Here is a 13867-nt window from a genome sequence, read left to right on the forward strand (position 1 = left end):
GAAAAAAATGGCAATCTTGGAATAGAAGAGATAATCTTCAAAAATTCCAGCAACCAACATAACACTTAATGATGAAACAGTCAATATTTTCCTTCAAAAGTCTGGAAGAAGGCAAGGATGTCCACTCTCACAACTTCTATTCAACATTATACTAGAGATTCTAGATAGTGCTAAAAGTCAAGAAAAGAAATACAGAAACATCAAAAAGAAATAATTAAAATCTTCTTATTTTCAAACAAATAGAGTGGTGGTATATGAAAGAAATCTAGAAAAATCTACTAGAACTAATTAGTAGATTTAATTAAGTCACAAATATAAGGTCAATGTACCAAAATCAATTGCATGTCTATATCCAGCAGCAAACAACTGGAAAATTTAAAACTTCAAAGCTATACCATTTATAATGGCATCAGAAAAACCAAAACATCTACCAACTACCCCATAAACCTACTGCCTAGCCACTGTTGGTTGCATTTTATAGCATGGCCTCTAGGATGCATGAATCTGGGATTCTTGGGCTGGGTTAACCCACAAGTCCATTATGGAGAACAGAACCTGGAATGAAAGGAAGAGCCATCAGCACAAAGTTGTCCCAACTTTGCTCTTCAGAGCCCTTCCTATTATGGAAAAAGATACATTATGTACATGGGACCCTCCTAAGCTAAGAGCCAGTCCTTCCTCAGAGGTTGGCCTTATCACAGTCACATTCCCTTCTTTCAAACGGGGAGGTAAAGCATAGATCTATCTGTAAGTGACCAACAACTCAAAGTCCTGTGTGCTGAGAGTCCCCAAAGCCTTACAATGATGTGTGAGTTCAGATGATGGAGACAGGAGCCTTGAAGAATATGCTTCCCTATAAGGGTGGAGCTTGTCATCAATCTGCCAAGAAAGGTAGGTTGTCCTGAAAATTTATTCTCTTGACATCCTCACCTAATTCTCCTTGAATTTCAACAACGCCTGAAGTTGTTTTGGTTGAACTCAACTATTTATATGCCTTTTCTATAAGAGCCACTGTTGTATGAAAGTGGGGAGGGGAGTATCTTAGGGGAGTCAAGTCCCCTTGTTCCAGTTTTAGCTTTGGCACTAGCATGCCATATTACTCGGTGGACAAGTTTCTTTCTCTCTTTTTCTGTCCTTCAGTTTCCTATATGTAAAATTAGAGCTATGAATGAGATGACCTCCAAGACCACCATTGCTCTAATTCATTATGCCGTGTACAGATCTCGGAAGGATTTAAATGTCAATAAGTTACATAGAATGAATTAATCCTTTATATAGTATTTTGTAATCTTTGCAAAATATTTTTGCGTTCACTACATTGTGAGTTTATATCTCCACCTATAATTCTAAGGCATTGGTATTATTATCCTTATTAAACAAATGAGAAAACACACTCAAATAAGTTAATAAATTATCCCAAGACCTACAAATAGTAGGAGATTAGACCAAGAGGTAGACATCTTCATTCCCAGCCTGGTCCTTTTTCATGTCCCCACAAATTCATCCTGGTATGTGCAGTTAATAATGGCACAGACAGCTCCTGGGAGCCACTCAGGGTCCCTTTCCCACTCATGTCAGGTGACATTACACTGGTCTTTCTCAAAGTCCCAGTGGCTGGCCTGATTAAGTGGGCTTGTCCCAGAGGGTCTCGTGAACCTCAAATAACCTTCTAAGTTTCTCTCAGTAACTGTGACCATTTGGAGAGAAAACAAATCTATACACAGAGGAATTTTAAAATAAGGTGTTATTTTAACTTTGTATAAGATGCATAAAAAGTTTAGCTTTCACTTGAATTTTTTAATAAGTTTGGCAAAATCAAAATTATTGGCACAAGCTCTCCAGGTGGATGCCCCAGGGCCCTCGGTTTAACTTCAGCACACCCCAAAAACATCAGACTAACCCCCTTTCCCACCCTTTCCCCATCTCCCACAGTTCCCAGGTTCTTCCTCCTTCACTGCTGTATCTCACTAGTAACCCATGAAGTTGCAGATGTTCTTTGGGCAGCATAAAGGTAGTAGCAAGAACTCTGCTCCAACACTTACAATATCTTATTGACTTATTCTTTGTCTTGTTCAGTAAAAGAAGATAATTATTGCTGTTTTGTTAAAGGTGAAATCAGAATCAAGAGCATATTCAGTCATTACAAGAGCACAGAGTATCTTTATGACACAAAATCTCAACACACACACATACACACACACAAAAATGGCCACAAATATAAGTGACTGATAGTATTCAGAATGTCAGTAATCCCAACTTTCCAAGGCACAGAAATTAATTTACTAGAGGAAGATTCTTTTGAGAAAGATAGGACTTGGCCGGGCATGGTGGCTCATGCCTGTAATCTCAGCACTTTGGGAGGCCGAGGCAAGCAGATCACCTGAGGTCAGGAGTTTGAGACCAGCCTGATAAACATGGAGAAACCCCCATCTCTACTAAAAATACAAAATTAGCTGGGTGTGGTGGTGCATGCCTGTAATCCCAGCTACTTGGGAGGCTGAGGCAGGAGAATCGCTTGAACCAGGAGGCAGAGGTTGTGGTGAGTCAAGATTGCACCACTGCACTCCAGCCTGGGCAACAAGAGCGAAACTCCATCTCAAAAAAAAATTAAAAAAAAAAAAAAAGATTAAGAGAGAGGACTTAAAATATCAAATGCCTAGTGGTATCAGACATCCTTCTGGGTGCCTACGCTACAAAATTTAGGCCTCACAAAAAAAAACTGTCAACATAAGCATTATTACTCCTATTTTATACAATAGAGAAATTGAGTTCAAGAGCATTAAGTAACATTGTCCAGGAGCACACAATTTATGAGAGATGGACCGAGGGCTGCAAGAGGACAATCTGGGTCCAAAGTCCATGATCTTTTCTCTTTTTCATGCAGAGTCTGCAGTGACAGGCAGCTGTCTCAAACATCTGTGTATTTGCTGTGATTTGTGTCCTCAAGTCCTCACTTAAATTGCCTAGCATAAAATAAGGGAACAGCTACAGACAGCAATAAAAACATCTTCATAGAAGCAACTATAATATTAACACATGACACAGAAAAAATATAGCTAGCATTTGCAACATTGTATTTGCTATTTTTTCACATATATCATATTTATTAACATTGTCATTATCATGACACCATGAAGCAGTGATATCCCCACTTTGCAAATAAGAAATGAAGAAGTTGGCCGGGCGCGGTGGCTCATGCCTGTAATCCCAGCACTTTGGGAGGCCGAGGTGGGTGGATCACGAGGTCAGGAGATCAAGACCATTCTGGCTAACACGGTGAAACCCCGTCTCTACTAAAAATACAAAAAAAAAAAAAAAAAATTAGCCAGGTGAGGTGGCGGGCGCCTGTAGTTCCAGCTACTTGGGAGGCTGGGGCAGGAGAATGGCATGAACCCGGGAGGCGGAGCTTGCAGTGAGCCGAGATCACGCCACTGCACTCCAGCCTGGGCAACAGAGTGAGACTCCGTCTCAAAAAAAAAAAAAAAAAGGAAAAAATAAATGAAAAGGTTGTCATTGTGCTCTACTGCATTGGGTGTGTTGGGATCTTTGGTAGTTTCTGAAGGTTTCACTATTTTACAGCATAGAATCATCAAGGCTGATCAAGAATGGTTAATTTGCATTCAATATCTGCTGATAAATAAGAGTAAGGTTTAAAGATTTCTACCAAAACTATAAAAATTTTTGATTCTCAGAGAAAAAATCATCAATATATAAAGAAACCCACTATGCTAAAAAGCTCACCCCTTAACAATGTGCATATCCTTATATTTCTTTTCTCATATACACAAATTCAACCCTGATTTTTGTTAATTAAACTGTTACATGGATAGCGCCACCTATTCCATTCAATGTAAAATAACTCGCTATAACCACACAAGAGAGGGAAGACTTATACAGAAGCAATATAAGATTATGTTTCCTAAACTGTTATTAAGAGAAACTCATTTAAGGACTCCAAAAATGCTATTGTCATAATCAGATCCACTGGCTCCCTGCTCAGAATTCAGTTCCACTTTGCTTAGTCTTGGTATCCTGACTTCTGGGGAGAAACAGGTCAGCTAGCTACCTAGAAACAATTGGCTTCCCAAATGCAGGTTTTGTGGGAGCTGTGGTCACCACCCCAAGTAACCCTTGGATGGCCTGCAAATGGTGCTGATAAAGTCTGATAGTTTACCACTAATCAGTTCCCGAACATTGCCACTTCAGTAGGAGGGAGCATCCCTGGCAATGGAGTAGTCTCCTGCGGGGCTGGGGCCATGACCTGCTCAATGTCAGGCTTTTCAGCTGAGTGGACAATCTGGCTTAACAGTGGGATGCTGGAGGCAGGAACGCTGGGACCCTGGAGCACTCCTGGTCCTGTTGGTAACTTCATTTCCCAAACGTTCATAATTAAGCAGCTTTTATTGAAGTAATCAGCATGAGCTCCTTAGCTTTGTTTTTGCAACCGGTATCGTGTTTATGGAGCCAAATATTGGAGACTTTGATACTGAATACCTCCTCGGATGTGTTAACGTTGGCATGGTCTCTAGATTCTGAAGATGCTGGGCTGCCTTAGCACAGCCTCCCCTCCAGCCCTTAGCATATCAGCCCCCGACTCCCACCCCCAAACCACAAAGCAGCAGTTCTCCTGTAAGACTCACTTACAATATTTCTCCTGAAAGTCCCAGGGAATGATGTGCAATTGAAACAGGGTGAAATATGAGCTCAAAGTGTCTGTCGGACCAGAAGTTTTCAAAGAAAACATTTCTTAAATCTTGTGTTCACTGCTGTTTCAGCAGGCCAATTAGATTGGATGGGACTTGGGGGAAGCTGTCGCCAGTCACTGCAGCAGGAATAGCAAACAAGACTTAAAGCAAATAAACGAGCCCAAAACTGGCATCCCAGAGGCCCCTGGCCAATGACCTCCTTCATTCCCCAGGCAGGATGGCCAGCCCACCCTCTGGGACTAAGGGCCAAACTACAGGTTAATCAGATGAGACATTAGTTAGCAGCCTCGATTACTAGAAAGTAATTAATCAGGGAAAGTCTCCAAACAGAAGGAGAACAAATAAACAGGCAGGCATATGTAAGCCCATTTTGGCTCTAGATAACACTGTTATCCAGGTGTCCTGCTGGGGCAGAGACCATCTATCTTTCTCACTTCCTCTTAGGAAATATGGCAACATTTCTCACATTTTTTCCAAAAAAAATGAAAACCCAAGAAGGCTCTGAATGAGAAAGAGATAGGAGACTATGGAAAAATTATTTCAGGAAAAGCTCTGAAGGGGGGATTTGTGATGAGCCTTGCGTTATCCTTTATGTCTGTATTGATTGCATGTAAGTCCTGCCTTATTTTGACATTTCAAAAAAGTTTGGTGTGGGTTTCCAAACTCCTACCCATTTGGAGACAACCAAGGACTCAGGTGGTGTTCTTAGCGTTCAAGGAGTCCATTGGTTTCTTAGCCCTTCAAAACTCTAGCCAGCTTAAAAGACTGCTGGGAAAGATTTTTTTAAAAATCAGATCTTCTGATATTACTGGTTTCTTCTTCAACTTTGATTAGGACTGAGGATAATTGGAAAGAATGGGAACACAATGTAGTTAATCCAAGTAGAAAGTGTCAGCCATTGGTCCAGTTTGACCTGACCTATCACATCAAATAGAATCATTTGTCCGTGTTGCATCTTTTTTCTTCTGGAGGAACAAAAAAAAAATGTCAGCAACTTGAGAATGTGTGTAATGTAAACACGGCTGTGTTAGCTCAGCGTCAGGAAAAGCACACCCAAACGTAAGTCAGCACAGGACATCCTCCGCTCCCAAGACAAGCGCAATGGTTTTAACCTAATGACCTGCTCTTAAACAGCTCTACAGAAAATCACAATTAAATAAATACCACTTAATAGTAGAGATTTGTTTCGCTGCCAGAGTATTTGTGGGAAGAGAAAGAGGAGGTTGGATGAATCACTTAATCTTTAATTATAAAATTAAGGTAGTTTCCAAATATTGTTATGAATTCAACCTCAAGCTAACTTTTAAAAATACCACAAAAATGGGTTAGAGACATTCTGGAACAAAACAAAAAGGCAGAGAATAGAAGCTATGGAGAGACAGTATACCAAGAGTTGAAGTTGCACTGTTTTATTGGCTTAAACTAAAGTTAAGCCTAGTGGCTTTCCTTCAGCCCAGTTGTTAGGAATGTCAGACCAGAGCTATATAAAAATCACAACACATACACCAGTGAACCAATGAAAAATGCAGCCCCATGTGTTGCTGTGGAATAGTACAGGACAGGGGGTCAGGAGTGCTGAAGTCAAGGCCTGGCTCTGCTGCCTTCTGGAGCACCAGGAAGGAATTAACTGGAATGGAAGAGGGAGAGCTGTTATATCTTATAAGTGACACAGAGTAATCAGAAAAGCACTTCCAGAATCCAGTGACTTGGTCAGCCTTTTCCAAAAAGGGCACACAGGCAAAAGTGATATGCTTTTTTGCTTAAGAGCTTATCCTTCCTCTCTTCCTACCCTCTCTGGAAAGCCTCACTCTCCATGTTTTTTCCCATCTTATTTTTTAATTAAGATGTTTTCAAATAATGTCTCTCATTGTTTCAAGTAGATGCCAATACTTGTATCTTTGAGCAGGTGACCTGGTGAAGGCTTTGTGATCTCCAAGAAAATCCAATCGTACGTTTTTGTCACCCCCACAGGCCTTTTCACCTGCAAGAAACCGATGATTGTGCCCACAGGAAAACTGGGGCTTAATGGACAACTGAGTCCTGCAAAACCTTTTCCTCTTAGTGCCACAAGAAATCCCTAAAAATCTAGCCTTTCCAGAAACAGCTACAAGTCCTTCTTCTCTAATTGCACACCATTGTTGAGATCCAGAAAGACCCTCACTCTGCCGGTTGGCCACACTCTTCCACACAGGCAAAGGAAAGCCCATGAGATAGTAAGCACCACTCCGGAGCACTGCCTCCCCCTAAATCAACTTCTCAAAACTTACCAGTTAGGCATTCACTGATTATGTCATGAGAAATCAAAGTCTTTATAAGAGCAGTTGCCATGTTTTCTTCATGATGGCATCTCCACTCCAAGTACATGGAAGGCATGAACATAATACATGTCATTCACTTCACATTTACCAAGCAGCTCCCTGAGCCCAACCCTTTGTTGTCTCTGAACATCCATGAAAAGAAGACGCAGCCCCTCTGTTAAAGAAGCTTAGAATCTAATAAGGGACACAAATATAAATGGATCATTTTAATTCTGAATGACATGTTATGCTGGATATAGCAGAAGGATTAATAAGTCTATCCCTTAACCCATGTCAGATGTAGTTGAAAGGTGGGTATCTCTTTTCTTTAATCCATGCTAATGGTCTCCATGTCATGTTGATCTCTAGAAAATCACTCACCAAAGCAAGACATAGCAAATAGTTCTTTCTGAGGGCTTTAACAGCAGTTCAAACTCCAGATTGGGGATGATAGCTCTAAGTCACTCTGATGGTCAGACTGTGCTTGAAGATCCCACACATGCAGAAGGACCATGAGAAATGAGAACATACTCAGGGAAGGACGAACAAGATGGTGAGTTACACTCAAAGCCATGTCTAAGACAGAAGAGAGCCAAGATATTCTAGCTGGGCAAAAGACTCAGAAGATCTCTGAGTAATCTGTATGTGCCTCAAGGGGAAAAGCTATGTAGTGCTTATGTGGTGCAGCCTCATATGATTGTGCAAGTGATGGTTTCTGTGAATGGGGCTCCCTGGAGTTGTGTAGTATACAACTGTAAAATCACACTGTAGCCCCATGCTCATCTCTACATGAAGAGCAGCGTTTTGATGAATGTTTGATGAATGAAACTCTTTGCTCTCTTCAAATAAGTGAAAAGCTACTTGCAAAAGATAGAGCAGATCTTTCATTGCTTTAGTTGTTTCCCAAGATGGCAAAAGTAATGCCAGTGGGTACAAAAGCCAGAGAGAGATAAAAGCTTTTCAAGTTCAGAAGAATTTTCTATGATGCAACACAGCCGAATAATGAAAGAGGATGACTAGAGGACAGCTGTGAGCTCCTCTCACCAACCCTCAACCTTAGTAGAGAGGAGATGAGTGGTTTTCGGGATTGGTGGAGAATATTCCATTTTTAGAAAAGGAAGTGGAGGTTGGGCTAAAGTCCAAGGCTGCATGTAGTTCCTAATAAAGAGCAAATTGTTGTAAAATGGCACTACTTGGAGCTTCCAATGCCTGGCAGGAGGTAACCATGAGCCTAAGTGGCACCTGAAAGAGTTAAATTTACATTCAGCTCCAAAACAATTTTAAGTTATTTCTTGTCAAATCAAATGCTTCCAAATGACTTCTCAAGTCAGAAAATGCCAAGCATTACCACGTGGGCTTGCTCAGCAGGCAGAGGGGCCCGCAATGCTGTTTGACGGCATTCTGCACACAGTGGAAGAAGGACCATGTCGCATTCCTCCTAATCTGATGAATCCTTGCCATAAATTCAGCCCAGGCAACCAGTGGGGTGGCTGCTGGCTCACAGAGAAGGGGAGGGGGCCACTTTACAAGAGCCAGAGGAGACAGCAGGCAGCCAAGCCCTCCACAAGAAGCTAGTAAATCAGCAGTCAGTGGAAGCTATATGTGGAAAAGACAGGTCCACCTACACAGTCTTCCAGGGGGCCCAGAGCACAGGTGAACATAGGCAAGAGAGGAAGAGAGTGTGCTCTGGGTCAACTAGTAGCTGTGGGATCCTGGGACCCACATAGTGAGGGTGTGATACAGCACAATTTGACGAACTCTTCCTGGATGATTTCTGCATACTGGGTGTCAGACCAGCAAGCACCATGCTGGATGTTGAAAATACAGACCCATTGACAGAGAAGATATCTGCCAATTAGCAGCTCACATTCCAGAAGAGAGATCCATTTAAGGAAAAAGATTGCATTAGTCTGCTATGACAAAATACCATAGACTGGGTGGCTTAAAAAACAGCCATTTATTTCCTCACAGTTCTTGAGGCTAGGAAGTATCAGATCCAGGTCCTGCAGGGTCAGGTTCTAGTGAGGATTCACTTCCTGATTTGGAGATGACCACTAATGCTCACAAGGGGAAGAGACCATGAGCTCTCTCAGGTCTCATCTTATAAGGACACAAATTCTATTGAATCAGGGTCTCAGCTTTCCAACCTTAATTACCTCCATAAAGGCCCTAACTCCAAATACAGATATGCCAAAGGCTGAGGCTTCAATATATGAATTTTTCAGGGAATAAAAACATCCAGTCCATAGCAGGGCTCTATAAAACACATTCTAATAAGAGGTACTAGATGCTATCATACAATTCAGCGAAGCCTTGTAGAGTCACGCATCTGACCAAGTGGCTTGGGAGTACAGGAGAATAATCAGGAAAAATGTCATAGAAGAGGCACCTGACTGAATAAGCAAGTCACTCAGTGAAAAAACAGAAGAGGGAACCCACATAGGACGGTGGTTGAGAGTACATGCCTGGAGTTGAGCTGCCTGGGTTGAAACCCTCCTCTGATCCTACTAGTTCTGTGATCCTAGATAAGCACTAGAACCTCTCTATGAGCCTCAGTTTTCTTGGCTATAAAATGGAAATAATAGAGCCTGTTTGACAGAGTTGTTGTAGGCTTAGCCAACAGCACTAGCTAATATTACATAGCATCCCAGGCAGAGCATGGCTGATGGCCTGTAAATCTCATGAGTCCTGTTTGGGAAAGGGCAAGTACTTCAATGTGGCTTGGCTTAGGGAACATTAAGGAGGGTACAAGGACATGGGTGAGCTTAGATTGGAAATTTATTTAATGTTATGCCAATGAGCTTGACCTTTATCCTCAGAGCGCTTGGGAGCCTTTGGGGGAAGAGTCCTCCAAAGTCACATAAGGAGAAATAGATTTTAGGAGATGGCTCTGGAGTCTGAGTGAGGTGGGAGCTGAAGAGGAAATGGGGTAGGAACAAGGCTTAGTGCCCTAGATGGCATCCAGGAAACCTGCCCCAACGCCAACTCCGCCTGGCAGCCAAATCCCTTTCCACTTCAATAAGCACTGGCTGAACCATGACATGTGCAGCCCTGTGTCAAGGCTGTCACTGAAACCCTAGTCCCAACCCTAATCTACTCAAGGGTTCAGAATCCTCCACAGTCTTTGCAACACATCTTTCAGTCTTTCCCCAACACTGCTCAGCAGGCAGGCTGGGGCCAGCCAAGCAGACAGGAGGGCCTTGCTGGATGGAGTAGGCTTCACACATCTTTTTCTCTTTGTTCCCTTGCTATCATTGTGGATCTTCTTGCCTTTCTCTGAATCATTCTTTCCCCATTTATTAGTACTGTGTGACCTATGGCAAGTCATTTAACCTTTCTGAGCATCCATTCCTTCATATGCCTAATATTAATATTTAATTCATAGGCATATTGTAAGGAATATTATAAACATTTAGCAAAGAATCTGGTACATGCACTCACATTTTCCTGCAAGAAACCTAAAGCCCTCTGCCAGTATCTTTTAGTCCATGAACCTATTACTAACATTTAAGGCCACCTCTGCCCCCTCACTGTCCCCTCACTCCGCCCTCAGAAGCTAACCTATGTTACAGTCCTCTGGGGACTTTGTTTCTCCATCCCCAAACCACTCCCTGATAGAGAGGTCTCACAAGGAACACACACATACACACACACCCACACACACACACACACACATACACATGCATATATATTTTAGACGGAGTCTCGGGGTTCAAGCGATTCTCCTGCCTCAGCCTCCTGAGTAGCTGGGATTACAGGCACCGGCCACTAGTTTTTGTATTTATACTAATTTTTGTATTTATACTAGAGACAGGGTTTCACCATGTTTGCCAGGCTGGTCTCGAACTTCTGACCTCAGGTGATCCACCTGCTTCATTCAGCCTCCCAAAGTGCTGGGATTACAGGTGTGAGTCACTGCCCCTGGCCACATATTTCTTGTCTATATGTCCTCTTAGCACCTAGAATGTGAGATTGTGTGTAGATCTGAACTGGGCAAATGTCTGTGCTAATCAGGCTATGAGAGGTAAACATCACAACACCAAGATCCATCCACCCAATGGACCATGTCCACATCCCCTTATAAGTATTTTTTTTCCTGACAATAGGCTGTAATGATTGGGCCAGAAGATAGCACACATTCACTGAAAACCTGCTAATAAAATGACTAGTCGCATATGGCATGGTCCCACCCAAAAACATGAGCTAAGACACTTAGGGGATTCTGTTAAGAATGTTGTTCAGATACAAAATGAATATCAGGCAGGGGGCAACAAGAAGTAAAACTGAAAGAAGTTTGAAAACCCTGGAGTCAAGAGAGCCATTGAGTAAAAATAGAGTTGAAGCTATGGGGGCCCACAGCAAGCAAAACTTACGAAGAACCAAAAAGTATTAGTCATAATAAAAATTCCATTATTAAAGACCTACTATGCACCACCAACTGAGCTAGGCACTGTACAAAGATTTTTTTTTTAACAAAAAAACCGATGAGTGGGTACTATTATTAGTCCCATTTATAGAAGACATTGAGTCACAGAATGGTTAAATACTATGAGCTCTCCATTGCCTTTATTGCCTCCTCGATTTCTTACAATAAACCCTCATGCTATCCCCTATGCCCACGCTCACATTAGAGTAGCATGGGTGAATCTGCTCCTTGTAACCAAAGCAGAAAGCACTGTGGAACAAGGACTGCACACAAGACATGGAAAAACTGCAAAAGGGCGAGGACATGAAGATGCACCCCTTTACCCATGGCCTAGGCCAGCCCTAGTGTTCCAAATGGCTTCCTGGACCCCCAGCTTGTAGAAACTACCAATTCTCCTGGGCCCTGAATGTTTGTGCCACGCACAGCCATATGCTGTCTAATACCCTTAATCTTTTACATATCATTCCTTTTCTTCCTAGCCAGCCTGCGAGCTTATGACTTGACAGAGATTATGCCTTCTCATGTTGTTTCTTCTTTCACAAATGAGAGTGCCCTAAACATTTATAGAAATCATCCCCCTGGCTCTGTTCAAAGTGCCAAGGGTCCCACCCATGTACACAGAATCCTGCAGGGCCTTGCAAAGGCATCAGACCCCTTGGGTGTAATCTGAGAACCACTAGCAGAGTAAATAAATCCCTGCCCTGGTGGCAAATACTTCCCTTTACCTCTTCCCTTATAAAAGCAAACTTTTCCTGTCCCATCTCACAAGTGCTCTCTAATGGATTCTTTGTTTTGTTTATTCCACTTAGTTAAAGCCAAAAGCAAAAAAAAAAAAAAAAGAGAGAGAGAGAAAGAGAGAAAGTGCATGAGAAACCACCTAGCACAGTGCATGGCATAGAGTCATGAACTCTGTGTTTCCTCCAATGTTACCTTATTTGAAAAGTGCAGGGGAGGAGCCAAGATGGCCGAATAGGAACAGCTCCGGTCTACAGCTCCCAGCGTCAGCAACGCAGAAGACGGGTGATTTCTGCATTTCCATCTGAGGTACCGGGTTCATCTCACTAGGGAGTGCCAGACAGTGGGCGCAGGTCAGTGGGTGCGCGCACCGTGCGCGAGCCGAAGCAGGGCGAGGCATTGCCTCACTTGGGAAGCGCAAGGGGTCAGGAAGTTCCCTTTCCGAGTCAAAGAAAGGGGTGACGGACGCACCTGGAAAATCCGGTCACTCCCACCCGAATACTGCGCTTTTCCGACGGGCTTAAAAAACGGTGCACCACGAGATTATAACCCGCACCTGGCTCGGAGGGTCCTACGCCCACGGAGTCTCGATGATTGCTAGCACAGCAGTCTGAGATCAAACTGCAAGGCGGCAGCAAGGCTGGGGGAGGGGCACCCGCCATTGCTCAGGCTTGCTTAGGTAAACAAAGCAGCCAGGAAGCTCGAACTGGGTGGAGCCCACCACAGCTCAAGGAGGCCTGCCTGCCTCTGTAGGCTCCACCTCTGGGGGCAGGGCACAGACAAACAAAAAGACAGCAGTAACCTCTGCAGACTTAAATGTCCCTGTCTGACAGCTTTGAAGAGAGCAGTGGTTCTCCCAGCACACAGCTGGAGATCTGAGAACGGGCAGACTGCCTCCTCAAGTGGATCCCTGACCCCTGACCCCCGAGCAGCCTAACTGGGAGGCACCCCCCAGCAGGGGCACACTGACACCTCACACGGCAGGGTATTCCAACAGACCTGCAGCTGAGGGTCCTGACTGTTAGAAGGAAAACTAACAAACAGAAAGAACATCCACACCAAAAACCCATCTGTACATCACCATCATCAAAGACCAAAAGTAGATAAAACCACAAAGATGGGGAAAAAACAGAACAGAAAAACTGGAAACTCTAAAATGCAGAGCGCCTCTCCTCCTCCAAAGGAACGCAGTTCCTCACCAGCAACGGAACAAAGCTGGATGGAGAATGACTTTGATGAGCTGAGAGAAGAAGGCTTCAGACGATCAAATACTCTGAGCTACGGGAGGACATTCAGACCAAATGCAAATAAGTTGAAAACTTTGAAAAAAATTTAGAAGAATGTATAACTAGAATAACCAATACAGAGAAGTGCTTAAAGGAGCTGATGGAGCTGAAAACCAAGGCTCGAGAACTACATGAAGAATGCAGAAGCCTCAGGAGCCGATGCGATCAACTGGAAGAAAGGGTATCAGCAATGGAAGATGAAATGAATGAAATGAAGCGAGAAGGGAAGTTTAGAGACAAAAGAATAAAAAGAAATGAGCAAAGCCTCCAAGAAATATGGGACTATGTGAAAAGACCAAATCTACGTCTGATTGGTGTACCTGAAAGTGACGGGGAGAATGGAACCAAGTTGGAAAACACTCTGCAGGATATTATCCAGGAGAACTTCCCCAATCTAGCAAGGCAGGCCAACGTTCA

At 43.2% G+C, this 13867-nt stretch overlaps 2 annotated features.

Annotated features, from left to right (window-relative positions):
* Positions 12043-12636: an enhancer, noted in NCBI's record as "H3K27ac-H3K4me1 hESC enhancer chr2:19505267-19505860 (GRCh37/hg19 assembly coordinates)". NCBI's record gives its function as "activates a minimal SCP1, AML or CMV promoter by ChIP-STARR-seq in primed H9 embryonic stem cells {active_cell/tissue: H9 hESC(primed)}" and the evidence as "EXISTENCE:reporter gene assay evidence [ECO:0000049][PMID:30033119]".
* Positions 12637-13230: an enhancer, noted in NCBI's record as "H3K27ac-H3K4me1 hESC enhancer chr2:19505861-19506454 (GRCh37/hg19 assembly coordinates)". NCBI's record gives its function as "activates a minimal SCP1, AML or CMV promoter by ChIP-STARR-seq in naive and primed H9 embryonic stem cells {active_cell/tissue: H9 hESC(naive and primed)}" and the evidence as "EXISTENCE:reporter gene assay evidence [ECO:0000049][PMID:30033119]".

This window comes from Homo sapiens, chromosome 2 (genome assembly GCF_000001405.40).
Source record: "Homo sapiens chromosome 2, GRCh38.p14 Primary Assembly".
In the NCBI taxonomy this organism is placed as follows: domain Eukaryota; kingdom Metazoa; phylum Chordata; class Mammalia; order Primates; family Hominidae; genus Homo; species Homo sapiens.